The sequence below is a fragment of the Homo sapiens genome, chromosome 13 (assembly GCF_000001405.40).
Source record: "Homo sapiens chromosome 13, GRCh38.p14 Primary Assembly".
Classification (NCBI taxonomy): domain Eukaryota; kingdom Metazoa; phylum Chordata; class Mammalia; order Primates; family Hominidae; genus Homo; species Homo sapiens.
The window spans coordinates 59,021,844-59,046,141 of record NC_000013.11 but is presented as its reverse complement, the minus strand read 5'-3'; positions in this window follow the sequence as shown (position 1 = coordinate 59,046,141).

Sequence of the window (24,298 nt, the reverse complement as noted above, 5' to 3'; positions counted from 1 at the left end):
AAAAAACAAATGGTGGTCAGAAAAAATATTTTTGAAAATTTAAATTGTACATTCTTTTTTTTCATTATTCATATTTTTATTGCCTTGGATTTTTATCACTAACTCTACATTTCCCAGTAATATCACTAAAATGCTACACTTTTTGTTTTTCCAGCTCACCCACTTTCATTAACTTACAATACTTTTGGTCACTAGGAGATAGGGCTGTGCATAGGGAAAAGCTTGAATATATGAGTCCCCAAGGTTGTGTTTTTGTGCCTGATAGACTAGTACCATATCTGAATGGATCATTTAATTGGTCTTATTGATCTTTATTTATTTTAGGGAGTTAAAAAGACTAGTCTTTCTCATTTTTGGGCAATCATACACATCAAGCAAAGGAATTATTTTTAAAAATTCCAAAATAAAAGGCAATGCCAGGATACAAACTCAAATCTGACAGTATCAGCTTCACACATGAAACTTTTGCTTCCTTTTGTAAATGATCTTTCTTTTTGCTTTGTGTCAAGGTGTTCCTATCACAGTACAGGTGTCCCTTGGTATCTGCAGGTTTTGCATCCACAGAAACAGGACAGACAGGGGGACTTCAGCATTCTGGTGAGGTTTTGGTACCAATGACCTGAGGATACTGGGGAGAGACTGTGATGGAAGGTCTCGAACACTACTCTGCAGCAGGTGCATCTTTTAGAATTAATTTAATTTTTACAACAACCCTAGCAGGTAGGCACAATTTTTCATCCTCTATTACAGATGAAGTAACAGAAGCAGAAAAAGGAAAAGGAAATTGCCCAACTTTATTTTAGTTGGTAATTGACTGATAGAGCTGAAATTTGACACAAGTAAAGGTCTGGGGCTAGATCCTGTTTTCATAACTACTGTGCTACAAAAATAAAATGCACGCAAAGTTATTTTTGAACTTCTCTTCTTCCTCATCCTCTCACCGCTGGTCAATCAACAAATGCTGCATATTTGACCTTTGAAAAGTTCCACACACCAACCCCCCGCCACACAATCCTCCTTCTATTATACTATTGTCAGTGTTCATCTCTTCTCATTTATTTATTGTTGTAGTCTCAATGTGTCTCCTTCTTTTCATCTTCTACTTTCTCAAATCCATTTTGCTCACTGGTATAGATCCTAAAGTATAGCTTGAATCATGTCCCAGTTACCCACCATGCTCACTTGGTCTCCCCAACTTCAAAATGAAGCCTTAGGTCCTAACCCAGTCTTTCCCTGTCCCCAAATATCTGCCCCAAATGAACTTTCTAGTCTTTTTTGTTCCACTATTCTCCTCCGTATTTCTGAACTATATTACTCCTATTTCTTAAAGATGTTCTTTTATTTCTGATTATTTGCTTCAACTTATGTTGCTTCCTTACCTTGTATCTTTGTCTTCCCAAATTTTACACAGTGTTTAAAGAACGAAAGGTACTCAGTGGAATAGAATGGCAGTTACCAGGGGCTGGAGACTGTGGCTTGGGGATAGGAAGATGGTCAAAGAGTTCAGAGTCTCAGCTAGACAGAAGGAATAAGTTCTGGAGTTCTTTTCTACAGCATAGTGACTATAGTTAATAATAAGGTACTACATACTTCAAAAATGGTAAGAAAGTAGATTTTAAATGTTTATATCACAAAATGATAAGTATGTGAGGTGATAGATATTTTAATCAGCTTGATTTCATCATTCCACAATGTATACATAGATCAAAGCATCACGTTATATACCATAAGCATATAAAATTTTTCATTAGTCAATTGAAAAAAATAAACTTAAAAAGGTCCTCAAAACATATTTTCTTGTAGAAGAAATAAAAATTGAGCTTAAATGTAGCTCAAATGCCTGTCCTTCATGAAGTGTCCCCTGAAATTGCTCCCTTGAACTCCCATCCACACCTTCTCTCCTTTGTGGATTATTGGGGAACTAATGGTACTCACCACTTTCAAAAGGTTGATATATTTTTCAAAAATCAAGGGAAGAATAAAATACAACTTGTTAGTAATCACTAGAGTATTTTTAAATTATACTTTATTATTTTAAGTAGCTGAGGTACAAAGATTAAAAAACCAGAATGATAGTCAGATATCTTAACTCTGAGCCCTGCTTCTCCTACTAACTTTGAGAGTTTCTTGAACTTCAATATTTAAAAAATCAAGAAAACATATCTAATAACATTTTTATTATAACGCTATTGTAAGACTAAAAGAGATCATTAAATAAAACATTTTATAAGTTGTAAAATGCTACATACTTTTAAAGGACTATTGGTATTCTCAAATTCAAAATTTTATTAACATTCTTGAAGACCTGCTGCAGGCCAGATATTTCACACATTTGATTTCATCTTATCCTTCTAACCACTTCATATTATTATGCCTAGTTTACGAATATGTTCTTTAAAATCAAATGACTCAAAGTCACAAGGCTAGGAAGGTAAAGCACTCATATGAACATTAATCTTAAGTCCTACATTCTTTCTGCATGCATAGTGATGCCTTCACATGGCGAAAATTCTCAAAGGAGCACAGAGATTAAGAGCATGATTTCTCAAGCCAGCAGTGCTTGGAATCAAAGTCAAGATTTACCATTTATAAGCTGAGTGACCTTGCCTAAGCCCTTAACCCATCCGTGCCTCAATGAAGGTGTATAATAGTAATAATCTCCCCATGAGGTTGTTGGAAGTATTAAATGAGTTCCTATGTGTGTCTTAGGTCTGGTTCCCTAGAAGCAGAGCTTGAGGCAGAGATTATTGTACAAATGATTTACTGGGGGAAGGATTTCAGAGAAAGGAGAGAGATGGAAGGAGGAAAGGGTGTGGGGATAACTAGGTAAAGAGAGGCTCTCAGCAGGATTCTAGCATCAGCCTGATCCTACGGAGAGCTGAGAACCACAAATTACACCACAGAATTGGCCTTTTGTGTACCTCTGTATCCATCAGCCACTGGCTGCAAGCTTGCTCCCAGCGGGTGGCAGTGCATAAACTTCAAGGCTAGTTGGCTTTCTTTCTAGAGAGGGTAATTTTTTTGGAGAATAGGAGAGAGCCTGGGCTGTTTCATAGCCAACATGTACAGCTGCTAGGTGTTGGGTGCTCCACACTACTAAAATAGATTTGGGCAGCCCACTGATAGAATTCACTTCAACATACAAAGTCCTTAGACCAGTATCTGGCTCAATGTAGCTGTCAATAAAAGTTAGCTTTCATTACTTTATTTTGCTCTGTAAGTTTTCTCACATTGTTTCATATGTTTAGCCTTGGCTTTCTAACCAGAATGTAAGTTCCTTAAGGTCAGGGACCAATTCTAATTCTGCCTACTGTGCTGCTCACCTGCAGCCATAAATCGATGCATTGTGATGGCTGCTTAGCAGCTCTGATTTATGTTTGGTGCTGAGGGTAGGTAGGACCTTTGCTGCATTCTTTTTTTTTTTTTTTTTTTTTTTTACTCAAATGCCTGCTTTTCATTACAAAATGTGATAATAAATTAGACTAACTTCCATTTTGCAGGGGATATCTCCCCTTATAGGGTTATGTGTGAAATAATATAATTGTATTTTTATCTGTTCCAGACACATTTTATAACTTTGTGCTCAATTCCCCCAAATTTGTTATTTTATTTGTGAAGAGTTCGTCAATATTTAAAGTGAAAGTTATTAGACAAGTCAGACATGCTCTTACGTTCACCAATGCAGTCTTGTGGGGGAATAATTACTTTTTAATATCTAAAGCAGTTCAGTTGATCAGAATATTGATTCCATTCTCGTTTTTGATCATTGTGTCATTGATTTAACATTATCACTGACTTACCAAGCAGGGTAGAATTCGAGGTGTCTTGCGCATTCATCTTTGTTAGAAGATAAATGCATGAGACAGCCTTTAAAAGCTTTTCAAAGTGCAAGATGCTGGAACTGCATTTTCAATCTGCATTCTCTCCTGCTGTTTTATGGAATTTATTGAAAATGTGCCTCTCAGAGGTCAGATCATTTCTTTCTTCAAGTGGAAAAAAAGATATAAGTAATATATTAAAAGGCCTCTAAGACAGTATCAAGAAATTAGAACAACTTCATTCTATATTCAGACACCCCTCCTCTTGAACATTATGACTCATCAAAAATAAGAATCACAATTCATCTAACTGCTTCTAGCCAACTACGGACTTTTGCATTTTAGATTTCATTGGAACCAATCACACAGGACACTTTTTTTCCTCTAAAATTTACCCCTTTCTTTGTCTTCTCACATCAGGTAATTTAGAAAGACAAAGACTGAATTTTAAAAAGCTTGAGAAACTTTTGCAGTTTTATCTAATTTGAAATCTATTAACTTATTAAAATGAATGTCAATTCTTCAGCTCCTAAGTACTTTAACATCCTCTTTATGCCTAAAAGATTTTCTGAACAGACTACACTCAAAATATATCATTTGTATGATGCTTTTAAATAAGTATAATGTACAAATAATTGTTGTGTGATACGGCTTGGATCTGTGTCCCTGTCCAAATCTCATGCTGAAATGTAATCATCATTGTTGGAGGTGGGGCCTGGTGGGAACTGATTGGATCATGGAGGCCTATTTCTCCTGAATGGTTTAGCATCATATCCTTGGTGCTGTCCTTGTGATAGTGAGTTCTTGCAAGATCTGGTCATTTAAAAGTGTGTGGCACCTCTCCCCTACCCCTCTTGCTCATGCTCTGGCCATGTGATGTGTCTGCTTCCCCTTTGCCTTCCGTCATGATTGTAAGTTTTCTGAGGCCTCCCCAGAAGCCAAGCAGATCCTGGCACCATACTTCCTGTACAGCCTGCAGAACCATAAGCCAATTAAACATCTTTTCTTTATAAATTACCCAGTCTCAGGTATTTCTTTATAGCAGTGTGAGAAGAGCCTAATACAATGTGTGAAAAAAAGGACTGGTACTGGGAAAAGTGGCAGTGTTTTTTCTTTTTCAACAAGCAAGTAGCTAGTCTAAATTATTTATTACTCTAGTTTTCTAATCTATGGACATGCTGCAATAGATCTTTTTATAAATAAGATAATATATACATATATATTAATTTATGCAGAGATGAATGCTGCTCCTTATTTGTGCTTCTAATCTGTGGAGAAGTTCTTAATTATTTCTGGTCACAGTTTGATGAAAATATTTTCACCTTTTGTTGATTGCCTATCTTACAGTTTGAGGTACTTCAGTAAGTCTTCCCTAAACATGAACAGTTTGCTTTCATCTATGTAGAGACAGTCCCCTCTCATTTACTCTAATTAATTGTTAATAGATTGTTCTCTCTCAGTTATTAAAAAGTAATGGTAATGATTCAAGAGCCACTTGGGAAAGAATCCTATCTCTAAGTATTAAAAATGAGCCAAGCGTGAAAAGTCCTCATACCAAATAGAAGCAGCAGAACTCCTCAATGGGCAGAGGGATTCACTAGGCGTTCCTAGGGTGGGGAGCTTTAAAAAGCGGTGCTTGAAGGTGATCTGCTGGTTGATGGGGGAAGGACTGTAGACAGAGACATGAGATTCATGGAGAATATACTAACACAGGTGTCACCGGATAGTACAATGGAACCCTTTCTGTCTCACTTTTGGCCCTAAGATTGACAGCAATGGATGCCAAGTCCTCACACATGGGCTTGTTTGTAGTGCCTGTGAAGGGGCTGTCCCAAAGCTGCCTTGTGAGGCTCATCATCTCTCTCAGCAACACACAGGCAGGGCTGGGGGACTGGTCAGGAGGGCAATGGAGCCAATACAAAAGACTCCCTGGATCGTGTTGTTGGAAACTGGGAGCATTTCCTCTTCCAACTTGTGGGAAACCCAGTCTGAAGGGGAGCATTTGTTCAAGTGGACATTTGGAAGAGCTTGATTTTTATCACCTGGAGTTTGAGGGGATACGGGAGATTGTTCTTATACATGTATGAGAAATCTTAAGGTGAGAGATGAGAGATTGTGACTCTTAACATAACAGAGTTTTGAGAGAGGAGGAGAGGAATGAGGAAGAAAAAGTAGAGTGGGGAGAGAGAGATACAGAGATTGACTCAGGTGTGCTCTGGCACTGAGCCCTCTATAAATGCCCAGAGTAGTGGTGTGAGGATTTTTCCTTGGGCCAAGTGGATCTGTGAGAGGATATTGGCCTGAGGGTGCCAGAGTCAGGATGGGAAGGATGGAATGACCAAGTGACCTAGCAGAGGAGTGAGGTTCAAGTACAGAAGGAGAAAGTTAAGGATGTCTTCCCAGGGGAGCTATTTGTATCAAAAAGACTGCAGTAAAAGCTAAAAAACTCACCTAGGCTCTCTAGAAGAAAAAGGATCTGTTTCGAATGCTTTTCTTTTAAGCAACAGGGCCCTAACCTAAACCCCGCACAATATCAGCTCCTAATTCTTTCTCCCTGTGGGCCTAGGCCTAGAGGCATCAGCAGCAGCAGCTTCTGGGTCTGGGGAGAATTGGGTAGACTAAAGAGCAATGACATTAAGCCACACCTCATCCCACCTCCATCCCCACTCATGCACCTTTACAGGCTTGAAGTGCTATGAAACAGGCAGAGAGAGAAGCTCGAAACTGAATAAGAGCTTGGAATTTTGAAGATTACACTGAACCGCAGTTATTATTACCAGAATTAAGTGTCCTTGTAAAACAAAGTGACTGAAAAGCTCTTTAACCTGACTGAGATTTCATCGAGGGGCAAGGATTGAAGTGTTCCATAGAGTGAGGGTGAAGAGACAGTGGGAAAAAAGAAGCAAGTGACCTTGTAAACTTAACCTGTCCAGTTCAGTTTCTTCAACCAAATAATTAGAGAAGTGTGAATGATTTAAATTTGGGGCCAAGGTCAAGGTAGAAGGATAGGAAAAGCAAAAATGGACAAAGCAGAAATTAGGAGCAACAATAGATGACATATGATCAATATTCGGTATGTTTCAGGAAAGCATCTTATTTAATTTTTACTACAACTCTGTGATGTCAGAATCATTATTTCCATTTTAAAGAAGAGGAAACTGAGACACAAAAATAATCTGCCTACAGCTGCACAGTTAAGTGACTTTTCTTTTTTCTTTTTAGTTTTAGAGTCAGCCTATGCAGCTATTGAATCAACACTATTTGGTGAAAGAGCAGCTGTTAGGAGTGAGGCAGAGAGACAAGCCCACAATGACTCAGAGAGTTAGAGCTAGCATGGCTAAGCAAACATTGATGCTGTGATCGTAAATGAGAAAATCAGGAGGGGAATCAAATGCTGCAGAGAGAATGAAAAGTTTGGTTTTAAACCTAATTTCTTCAAGGGTTTTAAGGTGCAGGTGTCCAGCAGGGAGGGAGAAAGGTGGAACTAAACTGCATAATGGCAGAGATGGGGATGTGCTAATGGAAGATATGCTTAGGAAAGTGATATTCTCGCTTCCTCCAGGGAGTTCATTCTTGCCTTGGGCTATATCCCCACTCACCTACCACGTGGTTGATTCCAAATCTGTGCACAGCTATAGCCATACAGTTTCTGGATTTTTTTTTTTTTTTTTTTTTGAGACGGAATCTCGCTCTGTCACCCAGGCTGGAGTGCAGTGGCGCGATCTCGGCTCACTGCAAGCTCCGCCTCCAAGGTTCATGCCATTCTCCTGCCTCAGCCTCCAGAGTAGCTGGGACTACAGGCGTCCGCCACCACGCCCGGTTAATTTTTTTGTATTTTTAGTAGAGATGGGGTTTCACCGTGTTAGCCAGGATGGTCTCGATCTGCTGACCTCGTGATCCGCCCGCCTCGGCCTCCCAAAGTACTGGGATTACAGTCGTGAACCACTGCGCCTGGCCGAGAGCTTGTATATTCCATTGTTTATGGTTCTTCATTCCCTTCCTGTTTGAAGTAGAGTGCCAACAAATGCTTACATAATTTTTCCCATCTGAAGTTCTAGAATCTTGAAATATATGGCCAGGTAATATTCACTCCATCCAGGCAATTATTTATGAATAGTCAACTCTCCTTTTCTTAGCCTCTTCCGCAACTACTAGTGATGGTAGAATTGGGAATCAAGAAATTTAAAATGTTATGGGGAATTTAGGGTCAAGGAGATAATATATATAAAATAATTTTTACTTTATGAAGAAATATTTTACTTAATGTAAATAAATGATTATTGTGAACCACTTTTATTACTTATTTCTGTATTGATGGGGCTTATAATTTATTTTGCTTTCTTTTGCAGTCTAAAAGGCTGTTTTGTTTTGTGTTGCTTCTAGTTCCACATTAAAGTATCTCAGGCCTTCTTGTTTTTTATTAATGGAGGTATTAACTTCCATGTCCTAAGTCTTGCCTGTGAGAACCAGTCTCTTGGGGTACCTATTTTCAGAAACAAAGTGCAGTTTGGATGCTCAAGTTACAAAGAGCTTTGAGTAACATTTGCTTAACATGCTTGTATATTCCAAATTGGTAAATCGGTATTTTACAAGCCCTTCCTAAATGTACAGGGTTATCTTATTTTAGCATCACACAGAGAACTTCTCCAGCCAGGTGTTATCATTCCTTATATAGATGTATATGGCTCTACCTTTTTCAACAAAAGCAGAAGTGTATGTCTAGTCCCAATTTTGCCTCATATTTCATTTTTTTCTCTTTCAAAGTTTTAATGCAATAATCTCTTCATTTCTTCCACCATCCACTTACAACCTCACTTAGTTCATTCTTTTAAAAAGTATTCCCTAGAGAACTGGAGGAGTGACATTTTAAATTATTTTTTATTTTTTATTTTATTTTTGTGTTTTGTTTATGTATTTATTTTTGTATATGAATAAGTTCTTTAGTGTTGATTTCTGAGATTTGGTGCACCCATCACCTGAGCAGTGTACACTGTACCCAATGTGTACTCTTTTATTCTTCACACTCCCACCCTTTCCTCTGAGTCCCCAGAGTCCATTGTACCATTCTTATGCCTTTGCATCCTCTTAGCTAGAACAGATGATGTTTGGTTTTCCATTCCTGAGTTGCTTTTCTTAGAATAATGGTCTCCAATTCCATCCAGGTTGCTGCATATGCTATTATTTTGTTCCTTTTTATGGCTGAGTAGTATTCCATTATATATATATATATGTGTGTGTGTGTGTGTGTGTGTATATATATATATATATATACACACACACCACATTTTACTTATTTACTCATTGATTGATGGACATTTGGGCTGGTTCCATATTTTTGCAATTGTGAATTGTGCAGCTATAAATGTGTGTGCAAGTATCTTTTGCTTATAATGACTTATTTTCCTCCAGGTAGATACCAGGAGTGGGATTGCTGGATCAAATGGTAGATCTACTTTTAGTTCTTTAAGGAATCTCCACACTGTTTTCCATAGTGGTTGTACTAGTTCACATTCCCACCAACCGTGTAAAAGTGTTCCCTTTTCACCACATCCATGCCAACATTTATTATTTTTTGATTATGGACATTCTTGCAGGAGTAAAGTGGTATTGCATTGTGGTTTGATTTGCATTTCCCTGATAATTAGTGTTGTTGAGCATTTTTTCATATGTTTCTTGGCCATTTGTATATCTTCTGGAGGAGTGACTTTTAATGGGCTCAAGCATAATTATCTCTATGTGTGAGTATGTAAGTATATGGTAAGTCTGTGTCTATACCTATAGTGGGGTTCTGGTATAAACTTCTAATTTTTTTAAATTAAGAAATTGTAAAAACATGCTCAAGCAGAGCTGGCTAATAGCCTCAGTTTGTTTTAGCCTGGATGCATTCTTGTACTGTGCAAATCAGATGCTCATACTGTATATGCCACATTATGCTCACACTGCCACTGTCTCCGAGGAGTGTTGCCGTCTTGTATCACTATTTGCAGGAAAGCTTTGGTTGTCACTTATGCATTCAGTCAAAGGTCACAAAAAAACAAATTTGATAAAGAACAATGTTTTGCTGCTATTTCTTTTAAATTCTAATTTGGATAATTTCGAGTTTCTGTTATAAATCATAGAACAAGACAATTATTTGAATTTTGACTCAAAAATAAGAAATAGAATCTATGTGTGCATTCTTCATTCATATATTCAATTGTCAAGAACTTATTTGAAATAACTGATACTATGGAGTAAATCTGTAGGTTTTTAAAACAAAGAAATAAAAAATTTCTATCTCGTGAACTTCAGGGGTTTCAAGTATGAGCCTTAGAGGAATTTGAAACATATCTTTTTCCCATGATGACAATATCAATATTTAAATTACTTCCTAAACATCAAGAGCTCATAAACCAAAGACCACAGAATAAGAGGGTCTATTGCTAGACTTTACAGGATCTATGAATCTGCTGCACCTAAATAATATTATTTTCTTCATGTGGGAGTAGGTTCATAGCTTTCACTATATTTCTATATTTCTATGAGTCTATATAAGGAAAAAAGTTTTGAACCAATTACATAATTAGTATTATATATCATCTTAAGAGTGCCAAAAAAAGTCCCCAAAGTCTCTTTCATTAGTTGAGTTTAGCAAAAATATCTGGATTTTTTTTAAAACTAGAGAGAATCTTAACACTCTAAGCAAAAAGTGTTATCTCTTTTCTCCCTTTCCCTACCATTATTAGGTATTCTGATGGTGAAGGAGAGAGCTTAGAATGCATGTAGGGTAAACATGTCAGTGCTATAATCTAAATGCTTGGTTTTCTAGCCTGTTGCCTTTATTTTATGTCCCTGTATCTTCTGCCCCTGTACAGTAAGAACAATGGCGTTATTCCCCACTCTTAATTGGAGGGATGTCTACTGCTTTGGTGCTGAGTAGAAAGCAGATTACCAATGGGGAACACTATAGATGTCATACATCCTGTGTATATACTATCATCTCTTCCAAGTTTCAATGGCCTGATATGTTTTGAATAAATATTTATATGTCCAACCTGTGTATGTTTTCTATTTGAAATACTGTTTTTATAATTTATATATATATATTTTTGAGATGATGTCTCGCTCTGTTGCCCAGGCTGGAGTGCAGTGGCGCCATATCAGCTCACTGCAACCTCTGCTGTCTGGGTTCAAGCAATTCTCCTCCCTCAGCCTCTCCTGCACCTGCCACCACACCCAGCTAATATTTGTATTTTTAGTAGAGACGGTTTTCACCATGTTGGCCAGGCTTGTCTCAAACTCCTGACCTCAGGTGATCCACCCACCTCGGCTTCCCAAAGTGCTGGGATTACAGGCGTGAGCCACCGCATCCAGCTAATTTACTATTTGTATTACTATATTCAAGATAGTATTTCAAGTAAACAATCCAAATTGTATCAAAGGAGTTAAAAATTGGTGGTCATTTACTAATCCGAATTTTTGAAATATTTGGAAACTAAATTGAGTTCGGTTTTTTTAATTAAAAAATTTTTGAACACAGTCTCATTTAAATATGAAAGCCAGAAAAAAAGATATTCACTGAATCTTTTTAATATTTTCCAGAATTAATAATTAACTGAAATCTAATATGTGATAATATAATCATAAAAGACTAAGAATCTTTATGGGTGATGGTCTAATTTGAATTCAATCATTAATTATTCTAAGGTATAAGATCACCAGTTAATTAATTCTACATTTTCTTTTTTCTCAATTTTTTGTCCTGTACTGCAGATTGTTGCAATGGCACTGCTGAAATTTCAGCCTTTTTGTGATAAGGCTGTCTATGGTTTTCAATGAATTCACATGCATTTTTTTATCCTATTAGGAAGAGAAGAACAACTGTTCATAGAGCAGGTAAAGAAAAAGGCATTACTGGAAAGGCATGTGAGGAATGAAGCTGTGGATGGCATTCCGCATTTGCTTTGAGTAGTGCTGGTGGCATCAAAAAGAGCAAGAGTAGCAGTGACTAATTTTATCTCCTAGTTCACGGTTTCATCACATATCTCTTTGTTTGCTATTCTGCAACATCAGTGAATTATACTTCTGCACCTTTTGCTGGGTAATTACAGAGTAAATGTAAGTTAGATTATGAGAGCTATTATAATCTTGTCAGTATGTTTGGCTAAAGTATTTTTATTTAATTTTTTTGTGAAGCCTTTTCAAAGGACTGCATCTTCCAAATGTTGTTATTCTTTATTGACCTAATAATGGAGAAAAACATCAGAAAAATAGACTATTTGAAGACTGGTAAAAAAAATTTTGAGATTTTGAAAAGCCATTATCCTCATAGAACTTTAATGAAGTGTATCCTTTCAAAGTTTCAATAAATTTGGGGGTGTGTTTTGCTGTTGATGATGTAAAATTGTGGAAAAGTGCCTATGTTCAGATGCCTAAATGCTTTTGAGGAACTTAAAATTGATTGACAATTATTTTTCATATCTTTTTAAAGAGCATCAAATATATCTTAAAACTATGCATATCAGACAATAATATGGACTATAAAGTTACTCAGCTCAACAAACAACCCATGTTTATTAATATTATATACAGCAGCAAAGAAGTGTGATATGTCCTGGGAGGGAGACAACTCAGTACCTACCCAAGAGGAGTTAAAGATATCCTAAGGACACTAGAGAGACAGAAGAAATCAGTTTCAGCTAACCCAGGGAGTGATTAAACAGAGTAATGAATTTCAACTAAAGCTCCTCATGGCCCTTTCCAAGTTGTTGTACAACAGGTGAATGCTATTCCATTCCTTCTCCCCTATTTAGCTTTAATCTGTGCAGTGAATTAGCTGATGTCATCTGCTTCATGAGTTGGGTTTTCTGGTTAAGTCTTTGAATCTAGAGTTTCATGGCTAAAGTTACTAACCCCCGACACCAATGACAATAGGAAATGCTCTGAGTTTACAGAAGAGGATTTTGGAATTCTTAAAGTCCAGTGTCAGGTATAGATTTAGCCTGGAACATTGTCCAATGTGACGTATGGATTTAACCTGGAACATTTCTTTTACACTGCTACAAAACACCGAAGAATTAAAGAAAACAAGGAAAGGGAAATCACTGGCACCCAAATCATTTCACACTAGTGATAATTCTATGTGGGGTTAGTTTTAAGTTATAAAAATATTCAAAATACTCATATTTGTTCAGTATCAATTCTATGCAGAGAAAAAAATGTGTCAGTTAAAATTATAATTATATAAAAATTTAAGTCATTACACATTATGTATTTGAATAAACTTGTTTAATTGAACCTGTCTTAGTCTGTTTTCTGTTGCTATAACTGAACACTTGATACTGGGTAATTTGCAAAGAAAATAAGTTTATTTGGCTCATGATAAACTTATTTTGTAAGTTTAGAAGGCTAGATAGTCCAAGGACATGGCAGCAGCTTCTGCTGAGGGCCTTCCTGCTGTGTCATGATGTGGCAAAACAGAGGAAGCTGCTAGCTCAGGTCTGTCTTCCTCTTGTTATAAAGTCACTAATCTCATCATGGGGGCTCCACCCCGATGATCTTACCTAATTCTCATTACCTTCCAATGGTCCGCCTCTAGTCAACATATGGATTTTAGGATTGAGTTTTCAACACATGACATTTTTAGCATGCATTCAGACTATAGCAGATCCATATAAAAAGAACTTTAAGAAAAACATAAAAATTTCTATCTTATTGTTTGTCTATAGCATTAAGCAGACACTAAGAGTGGCTGAATCTCATCTCGCAGAATTGGCGCACTGATTGAAAAAGGGTGAATCAATTAGATAAAATAAGTCAATTGCATAAAAGTGTCCCTTTGGATGAATGAGTTTGAAAAAAGAAGGCATCCTTTTTTCTGTCTTATAATTCCCACATAGTCATGGTTTTCCCAAAAGAATAGGTATTATATATCAATCTCATTAATATCTTCCTGGCCTGTACCTCTTATACAAAATCGTTGGCCTGTATTCTTCTAAAATACTGAGTTAAGAAACACTGAGGAATTCTACTAAATTAAAGGAGACTAAAGGGATATAGCAACTAATTGCAAATTGTGACTTGAATTGGGTCCTAGACCAGTGGTGGGGGTTGGGAGGAAGTTAAAAAGGGCATTACTGTTACATTGACAAATTTGAATACAGCCTTTGGTTTAGATAATAATATTTTGTGATTTTGATAATTGAATTACTGTTACGTGGGAGAATGTCCTGCTTTTAGAAAATACACACAAATATTTAGGAATAAAGAAGCAAGAAATCTCCAAGGAACTCTGAAATGCTGTAGAACTGTGTGTGTGTGTGTGTGTGTGTGTGTGTGTGTGTGTGTGTGTGTCTATGTTGAGAGAGAATGATAAAACAAGAAGTAAATTATAAAGTTGTTGGAGCAGATTAAAAGTTATGGGGAACTTTCGTGGACTATTCAGCATAATTTCTGTAAGTTTAAAATTGTATCAAAATTGAAAGTCATAAAAATAAAACCAGGAATAATAGATATAAAAATAAATGTTTTAATGTCTTCTATAAAGCCAGTGACCTCTCACCAGAAGCCAGAGCGTTTCAAATAACAATTATTTGCTGAAAAACGTGAGCATGGTATACAATTGCAAGTAAAAGCAAGCAAATGATGAGAGCGATTGAAGAGACTAAGGTGCTTCTCTGGATGGCTGTAAAATATAATGTTATATTAAGGAACTTCTGTATTTCCCAGTTGTGAATGATCTCTCCTGGATAAAATCATTTGTTTTTTTCAATAGGATATTACTAATATTTTTATTTAAAACCCAACTCATTCTTAATTAAATTAGATAAAGAGGAGTATAAGCCTAAAATCTAGCTTATAAGCATTGTCTGAAACTAGCAGATGATTTCAATTCACATCTACATTTTAACTGCAGCCTCCTTTGGTTTGGAATCACAGACTCTCAGAGTTGAAAGAGGGTTTAAAGGTTATCTTATTATCCTTCCCATGCAGTGCTTAAATTTCCTGTCCACCTTTATTGCCAAATGGAGTATGTTAATATTTCTGCAAATACATTATTTTTAAAAGTCAGAGGATATTTAGAATACTGAGAAGAATGCTCTGTTTTTAATAGACACACACACACACCCTGAAGAAGTCAGTAACAATCTGCTCCTTTTTAAAAGTCTATCTCAACGTTCAGATTCAGGAAATACAGAGAACGCCACAAAGATACTCCTCGAGAAGAGCAACTCCAAGACACATAATTGTCAGATTCACCAAAGCTGAAATGAAGGAAAAAATGTTAAGAGCAGCCAGAGAGAAAGGTCGGGTTACCCTCAAAGGGAAGCCCATCAGACTAACAGCAGATCTCTCAGCAGAAACCCTACAAGCCAGAAGAGAGTGGGGGCCAATATTCAACATTCTTAAAGAAAAGAATTTTCAACCCAGAATTTCATATGCAGCCAAACTAAGCTTCATAAGTGAAGGAGAAATAAAATACTTTACAGACAAGCAAATGCTGAGAGATTTTGTCACCACCAGGCCTGCTTTACAAGAGCTCCTGAAGGAAGCACTAAACATGGAAAGGAACAACCGGTACCAGCCGCTGCAAAATCATGCCAAAATGTAAAGACCATTGAGACTAGGAAGAAACTGCATCAACTAATGAGCAAAATAACCAGCTAACATCATAGTGACAGGATCAAATTCACACATAACAATGTTAACTTTAAATGTAAATGGACTAAATGCTCCAATTAAAAGACACAGACTGGCAAATTGGATAAAGAGTCAAGACCCATCAGTGTGCTGTATTCAGGAAACCCATCTCACGTGCAGAGACACACATAGGCTCAAAATAAAAGGATGGAGGAAGATCTACCAAGCAAATGGAAAACAAAAAAAGGCAGGGGTTGCAATCCTAGTCTCTGATAAAACAGACTTTAAACCAACAAAGATCAAAAGAGACAAAGAAGGCCATTACATAATGGTAAAGGGATCAATTCAACAGGAAGAGCTAACTATCCTAAATATATATGCACCCAATACAGGAGCACCAAGATTCATAAAGCAAGTCCTGAGTGACCTACAAAGAGACTTAGACTCCCACACATTAATAATGGGAGACTTTAACACCCCACTGTCAACATTAGACAGATCAACAAGACAGAAGATCAACAAGGATACCCAGGAATTGAACTCAGCTCTGCACCAAGTGGACCTAATAGACATCTACAGAACTCTCCACCCCAAATCAACAGAATATACATTTTTTTCAGCACCACACCACACCTATTCCAAAATTGACCACATACTGGGAAGTAAAGCTCTCCTCAGCAAATGTAAAAGAACAGAAATTATAACAAACTATCTCTTAGACCACAGTGCAATCAAACTAGAACTCAGGATTAAGAATCTCACTCAAAACCGCTCAACTACATGGAAACTGAACAACCTGCTCCTGAATGACTACTGGGTACATAACGAAATGAAGGCAGAAATAAAGATGTTCTTTGAAACCAACGAGAACAAAGACACAACATACCAGAATCTCTGGGACGCATTCAAAGCCGTGTGTAGAGGGAAATTTACAGCACTAAATGCCCACAAGAGAAAGCAGGAAAGATCCAAAATTGACACCCTAACATCACAATTAAAAGAACTAGAAAAGCAAGAGCAAACACATTCAAAAGCTAGCAGAAGGCAAGAAATAACTAAAATCAGAGCAGAACTGAAGGAAATAGAGACACAAAAAACCCTTCAAAAAATTAATGAATCCAGGAGCTGGTTTTTTGAAAGGATCAACAAAATAGATAGACCACTAGCAAGACTAATAAAGAAAAAAAGAGAGAAGAATCAAATAGACACAATAAAAAATGATAAAGGGGATATCACCACCGATACCACAGAAATACAAACTACCATCAGGGAATACTACAAACACCTCTACGCAAATAAACTAGAAAATCTAGAAGAAATGGATAAATTCCTGGACACATACACTCTCCCAAGACTAAACCAGGAAGAAGTTGAATCTCTGAATAGACCAATAACAGGAGCTGAAATTGTGGCAATAATCAATAGCTTACCAACCAAAAAGAGTCCAGGACCAGATGGATTCACAGCCGAATTCTACCAGAGGTACAAGGAGGAACTGGTACCATTCCTTCTGAAACTATTCCAATCAATAGAAAAACAGGGAATCCTCCCTAACTCATTTTATGAGGCCAGCATCATTCTGATACCAAAGCCAGGCAGAGACACAACCAAAAAAGAGAATTTTAGACCAATATCCTTGATGAACATTGATGCAAAAATCCTCAATAAAATACTGGCAAAACGAATCCAGCAGCACATCAAAAAGCTTATCCACCATGATCAAGTGGGCTTCATCCCTGGGATGCAAGGCTGGTTCAATATACGCAAATCAATCAATGTAATCCAGCATATAAACAGAGCCAAAGACAAAAACCACATGATTATCTCAATAGATGCAGAAAAAGCCTTTGACAAAATTCAACAACCCTTCATGCTAAAAACTCTCAATAAATTAGGTATTGATGGGACGTATTTCAAAATAATAAGAGCTATCTATGACAAACCCACAGCCAATATCATACTGAATGGGAATAAACTGGAAGCATTCACTTTGAAAACTGGCACAAGACAGGAATTCCCTCTCTCACCACTCCTATTCAACATAGTGTTGGAAGTTCTGGCCAGAGCAATTAGGCAGGAGAAGGAAATAAAGGGTATTCAATTGGAAAAGAGGAAGTCAAATTGTCCCTGTTTGCAGACGACATGATTGTATATCTAGAAAACCCCATTGTCTCAGCCCAAAATCTCCTTAAGCTGATAAGCAACTTCAGCAAAGTCTCAGGATACAAAATCAATGTACAAAAATCACAAGCGTTCTTATACACCAACCACAGACAAACAGAGAGTCAAATCATGAGTGAACTCCCATTCACAATTGCTTCAAAGAGAATAAAATACCTAGGAATCCAACTTACAAGGGATGTGAAGGACCTCTTCAAGGAGAACTACAAACCACTGCTCAAGGAAATAAAAGAGGTTACAAACAAATGGAAGAACATTCCATGCTCATGGGTAGGAAGAATCAATATTGTGAAAATGGCCATACTGCCCAAGGTAATTTACAGATTCAATGCCATCCCCATCAAGCTACCAATGACTTTCTTCACAGAATTTGAAAAAAATACTTTATTGTTCATATGGAACCAAAAAAGAGCCCATATCACCAAGTCAATCCTAAGCCAAAAGAACAAAGCTGGAGGCATCACACTACCCGACTTCAAACTATACTACAAGGCTACAGTAACCAAAACAGCATGGTACTGGTACCAAAACAGAGATATAGATCAATGGAACAGAACAGAGCCCTCAGAAATAACACCGCATATCTACAACTATCTGATCTTTGACAAACCTGAGAAAAACAAGCAATGGGGAAAGGATTCCCTATTTAATAAATGGTGCTGGGAAAACTGGCTAGCCATATGTAGAAAGCTGAAACTGGATCCCTTCCTTACACCTTATACAAAAATCAATTCAAGATGGATTAAAGATTTAAACGTTAGACCTAAAACCATAAAAACCCTAGAAGAAAACCTAGGCATTAGCATTCAGGACATAGGCATGGGCAAGGACTTCATGTCTAAAACACCAAAAGCAATGGCAACAAAAGCCAAAATTGACAAATGGGATCTAATTAAACTAAAGAGCTTCTGCACAGCAAAAGAAACTACCATCAGAGTGAACAGGCAACCTACAACATGGGAGAAAATTTTCGCAACCTACTCATCTGACAAAGGGCTAATATCCAGAATCTACAATGAACTCAAACAAATTTACAAGAAAAAAACAAACAACCCCATCAAAAAGTGGGCGAAGGACATGAACAGACACTTCTCAAAAGAAGACATTTATGCAGCCAAAAAACACATGAAAAAATTATCATCATCACTGGCCATCAGAGAAATGCAAATCAAAACCACAATGAGATACCATCTCACACCAGTTAGAATGGCAATCATTAAAAAGTCAGGAAACAACAGGTGCTGGAGAGGATGTGGAGAAATAGGAACACTTTGACACTGGTGGTGGGACTGTAAACTAGTTCAACCATTGTGGAAGTCAGTGTGGCGATTCCTCAGGGATCTAGAACTGGAAGTACCATTTGACCCAGCCATCCCATTACTGGGTATATACCCAAGTATATATACCAAGTATATATATATATATATATATATACCAAGTATATATATACCAAGTATATAAATCATGCTGCTATAAAGACACATGCACACTTATGTTTATTGCGGCATTATTCACAATAGCAAAGACTTGGAACCAACCCAAATGTCCAACAATGATAGACTGGATTAAGAAAATGTGGCACATATACACCATGGAATACTATGCAGCCATAAAAAATGATGAGTTCATGTCCTTTGTAGAGACATGGATGAAATTGGAAATCATCATTCTCAGTAAACTATCACAAGAACAAAAAACCAAACACCGCATATTCTCACTCATAGGTGGGAATTGAACAATGAGATCACATGGACACAGGAAGGGGAATATCACACTCTGGGGACTGTTGTGGGGTGGGGGGAGGGGGGAGGGATAGCATCGGGAGATATACCTAATGCTAGATGACAAGTTAGTGGGTGCAGTGCACCAGCATGGCACATGTACACATATGTAACTAACCTGCACAATGTGCACATGTACCCTAAAACTTAAAGTATAATAAAAAAATAAATAAATAAAAAATTAAAAAAAAAAATTAAAGTCTATCTCAAATCCCTAAGAGAATGAAAATGTTTGAGTAGGGCAATATTTAGGTGAATAGTTTATAACACCTTTCATAACACCACATTATGACTAACATGAATTTTTGCTGTTTGGACAGTCTAGCCTGGACAAACTTTCCTTTTGTTTTGTATTTTAAAAAAATTGTGCATATAATTATTTTTTGTCTTGTTTTTTAAATCCAAAATCAATTATGTTGGATTTAAATTTAACCTAATAGTTTAATAACATTATTTTGTTGTGCAGACTGGAATGCTTGGGACAATTGTTCCTGCCATATTTCACATCTTCAGTATTTGGTTGTTTGTCAAATTTAAAGTGTAAATTGTTCGGAAAATATTCATCAGAAATTAAAAATGTGCTCTGATAGTAAAGAGTAAATGTGCTCTAATCCTGTTGGAGTCTATTACATCAGTATTTGTATAATGATTCTTCCTTATTTTTCTTTTTCATTTAAACATTACCAAATCCAAATTCTGTTTTATATTTTAAAATATTAAAAATAGCTAATGATTTAAGACTCTTTCCTCGTGTGACCACGTTCATCTTTCTCCTCTGATATTTTAATGCAGAAGACTTGCTGATTGTGTTAACTTACAATTCAAGCCCTAGGTATTTTTTAACAAGTACATAAGTTTATCTACGGTATTTCTAGACTTGCAATTCTCCCACTTTTCCTTTAGATATTCTCACTCTCTATTTCAAGTTTTCTCATTGTCTTCCTTTTCCTAAGAAAGGGATAAAAAATCATCTGCCTTTAAATACAGTTACTGATTACTTAAAGTACTATCTACTTCAGGGCATTATACATTTTAATGAGATAAAAAGTTTAAGCTAAACGTGTTTTCTTTCGGCTACCCATTAGTAGATAGGGTAAATACTTTTGGGATCAGGTATCATGCCTTTCCTTCTGAATTTATAGACTATCATTTAGAATGCCTTTGCAAAAACAAAAATGAAGAAAAATACTAAAACAAAAAACCCCTGCCCGGGCGCTGTGGCTCATGCCTGTAATCCCAGCACTTTGGGAGGCCGAGGTAGGGGCATCACGGGGTCAAAAGATCGAGACCATCCTGGCCAACATGGGGAAACCCCATTTCTTCTAGAAATACAAAAATTAGGCTGGCGTGGTGGCGGGCGCCTGTAGTCCCAGCTACTCGGGGAGCTGAGGGGGGAGAATAGCTTGAACCAGGAGGCGGAGGTTGCAGTGAGCCGAGATGGCGCCACTGCACTCCAGTCTGGCGACGGTGCGAGACTCACTTCGTCTCAAAAAAATAAAATAAAATAAAACAAAAAACCCCACAAACAAACACGAATCCCCCACAAAAGCTATTTACAAGAAAACATTGCAGATTCAAGCTTATTAACAATTCATTAGAGTAATTAGCACTTGGCGATGTCTAACTTAGGCCTTTATCAGATAATCCTTTAAAAATGTATTTTAATTTTTAAACACAGAATACATGAAAATATCTTTATGGACAGATCCAAACATTTCAGAAATATATGGAATAAAACATCTAAGTTTAATTCAAATCTCCCTCTACTTCTTCCCAAATGAATAATTTGATATTCAACTGTTGAGTACATGAATTCTGTTACATATGTAATTTTTTTAAAATATGAATTTGAACATACTTTTCATATAGCTCAGCAACTTGCCTTTTCATATAAAAATACGTCTTGGAGATCTGTCTGCATTATTAAAGCTGCAGAGTATTCCATATTAAGTATGTACATAAATCTTTTTAACAATTTCTCTAAGGTTGTTGTTAAAATCCAACATCCAAAGGCCACCAGAAACATGCTTGTAGTCAAAAAGACCAAAAAAAAAAAAAAAAAAAAGTAGGTTAAGTGAGCTGGCTGCAGCTAGGGAGGTTGAAACATGCCCCTCAGAGCACTTGTGAGTCATCTTGAATTGACGGAACAGGCTTCAGTTCTTTCGTACATAGTAATTTTTTAAAAAATTAGAGGAAGTAACCATTTTTCAAATTTTAAAAGTCAATTCTTTTTCAGTTCAATCAAAACTTTTCGTATCTGTTAAAATGATCATACATCATTCTGTTTTCACAATATAATATATATTTATACAGACACATATATTTAAATTGTTATTAATTTTTCTATGTCCATTCTTTTGTCTCTTATGTTTTAACTTTTTTCTCCTATATGTGACTTATTTAATATATTAAATCCAGTAACATTGATAGACTCTGAGTGCCGATTATTGAGCATAAATGCATGTATTTCTAAGAGACATTATGCTCATTCATATGCACATTAAGTTCTTCCTGTATTTTAGAAAATATCCTCTAGTATCTTTGAAAATATTTTCTGTTCTAATTTCTACTTCATGGATTATTTGTGTCTGTATACGCTTTTGTGTTTATCCGTTTTTTAATCTAAATTGATTGTAACTAGTGAAAGCTAGGTCGCTTTCTTTTTTAACAAGCATGTCAATGATTTCTTTCTCAAGTTTTATTCTGTTTTATAAGAGTGCAAATGAAATAATGAATGATGGCATTGATCATTCAAAGTTCAGTAGAATTACTTCCTATTTCTTTCTAGGTACGTTTCCTTTCTAGATTTCTATAGGGAAACTTTACCTGATTTTATTTCCTTTCATTTTAAAATTAGAAATTGATGTGGCCCTTTTTTCTTTATTCATATTTCTCTTTTAGTCAGCTAATGTCAAAAACTTCATTAATGGTTTTCCTAGTATAAGCTTACATGTATTCTGGGGTTCACTATGCTGATTTTGGTGTATTATTCTTTAAATACACTGTTATATTTAATTTGTTAATATTTTATTTTGGTTTGTAAACACATGATTAGTCGACAGTTTTCTTTTTAGATGGTATGATTAACAGCTTTTGGAATTGGATTTATGTTAGTCTCTTACAGTGGGTTTGAAATTTTTCCATCTATTTTTCTATTCTGATTATTTTCAGAGATGTAGGAATTAGCTGTTTAAGTTCAGTAAAACCCATTTGTAACCCTACCTAGGCCAGCTTCTTCATAAAGCAAAGACCATTTTACTTTCACATATGCTTGTGCATCTATTTGGGTTTTTACTTTTCATGAAGTTAAATGTTAGTGATTCTTCCTCCCCACTCTTTACTTTTGAAGTCCAGAAACTTTTCTAACATTTGACTCAATTTTGATCCTGGATCAGATTTTTCTAGGACATGATAGGATATTTCAATCTGTACATGCAAGTTATCCTTCATTTCTGGAAATTTAAAAAAACTAAAAATTACTTTAAAGTATTTGAAAATTCCATTTATTCTGCTTTCTTCCTCAACAGTAACTTTCTTTTTAATAGTTATTTTGACTTTTATTAGCTCATCTTTCCCAAGCTCTTCCTCACTGGCATTCCAGTTTGTCTTTCTCTTCTGTGCTGCTTCTGGTGAGATTCTCATTTCCATGATAGTTTCTATTTATCTCTTACTTCTTTCCTCATCTCTGCCATTTCATGTCTTTGCTGATTGGTTTTATTTCTCTGGTTTCACTGTCTTATTATATATATTTTCTCTAAACTCATTTATCTGCTTTAAGATTTTTTATCTAAAAGGTTTTTATTTAAAATATTGATTTGCTATGCTGTGTTTGATGACAATTTTCATATGTTCCATGACATGAAAGACAACCATTTTTTCTTGTGTTAATTATCTGCAATTTGTTTTTGTTGAATCACTTGTAATTTTCTATATAATTATATATAGGTATAATCTGCTGTACATTTATAGCTTGCACTGTTTCTTTTTCAAATTGTACACATATTTGGTTGAAGTTAATTCTTGCCCAGGTATTTGCCCAAGAATCACTTGAGGGTCAGGCTACAGCCATATTTTATATGAGTAGGAATTTCTTCTGGTTCATAATAATGTTTCTTTTGAAGCAGGGTCAGACATGACCCTGGCTCTTATTTTCTGTTAGCCACAGTGATCAGAAGCTTCAGGGCTTCTCAAAATGTAGAGACTCTCCCTTTTGCTCTGCCTTGCTTGCAGACTGCTTCCTGTAAATATGGCTGGCCGCTGCTACTTCTCACTTGGGCTGGTCCCTCTGGCATCAACTTGTTGCCAATCTAGGACCAGGAAGCTTCCTGCCTGCAGCTGGGTCATATTTTTTAAATATGGGATTGCTGGATTTCTTCCATTAGTATATGCCACCTACTTTGAAAAACTACACTGTTGACTTTGTCTGAAATCTGCAACCTTGAGGCTCCTCTTTAGTATCTTTCTGCAGTCCTCGTTAACCTTCACAGTGTTTGAGGCTACAGATATTTTCTGGCATTATAAAGATTGATCTTTCTATTATCTTTGACTTCATGTTTTGATATCCAAGCTGAGAAAAGGAAAATCCAGTCTTTGTTTTGTTACCTGAAAACAGGAACTTGAAAATCTAAATTATACATAGAGATATGAAATATCCCATCCTATGGATAAAATTTATTTAGTGACCCTCCTAACACTGGATGTGTAGATTATTTCAAATTGTTTCCTATCCTAAATCACATTCTGATGAACTACCTTCTAGTTAAATTCCTAGAAATTGAATTATAGGATTGAAGGTCATAGCTACTTAAGAATCAATACAGACTGACAAATTGTGAACAATATATACCAACTTATGGCTCCACCAAAAGTATATAAAACATCTATAGTCTTCATTCCCTC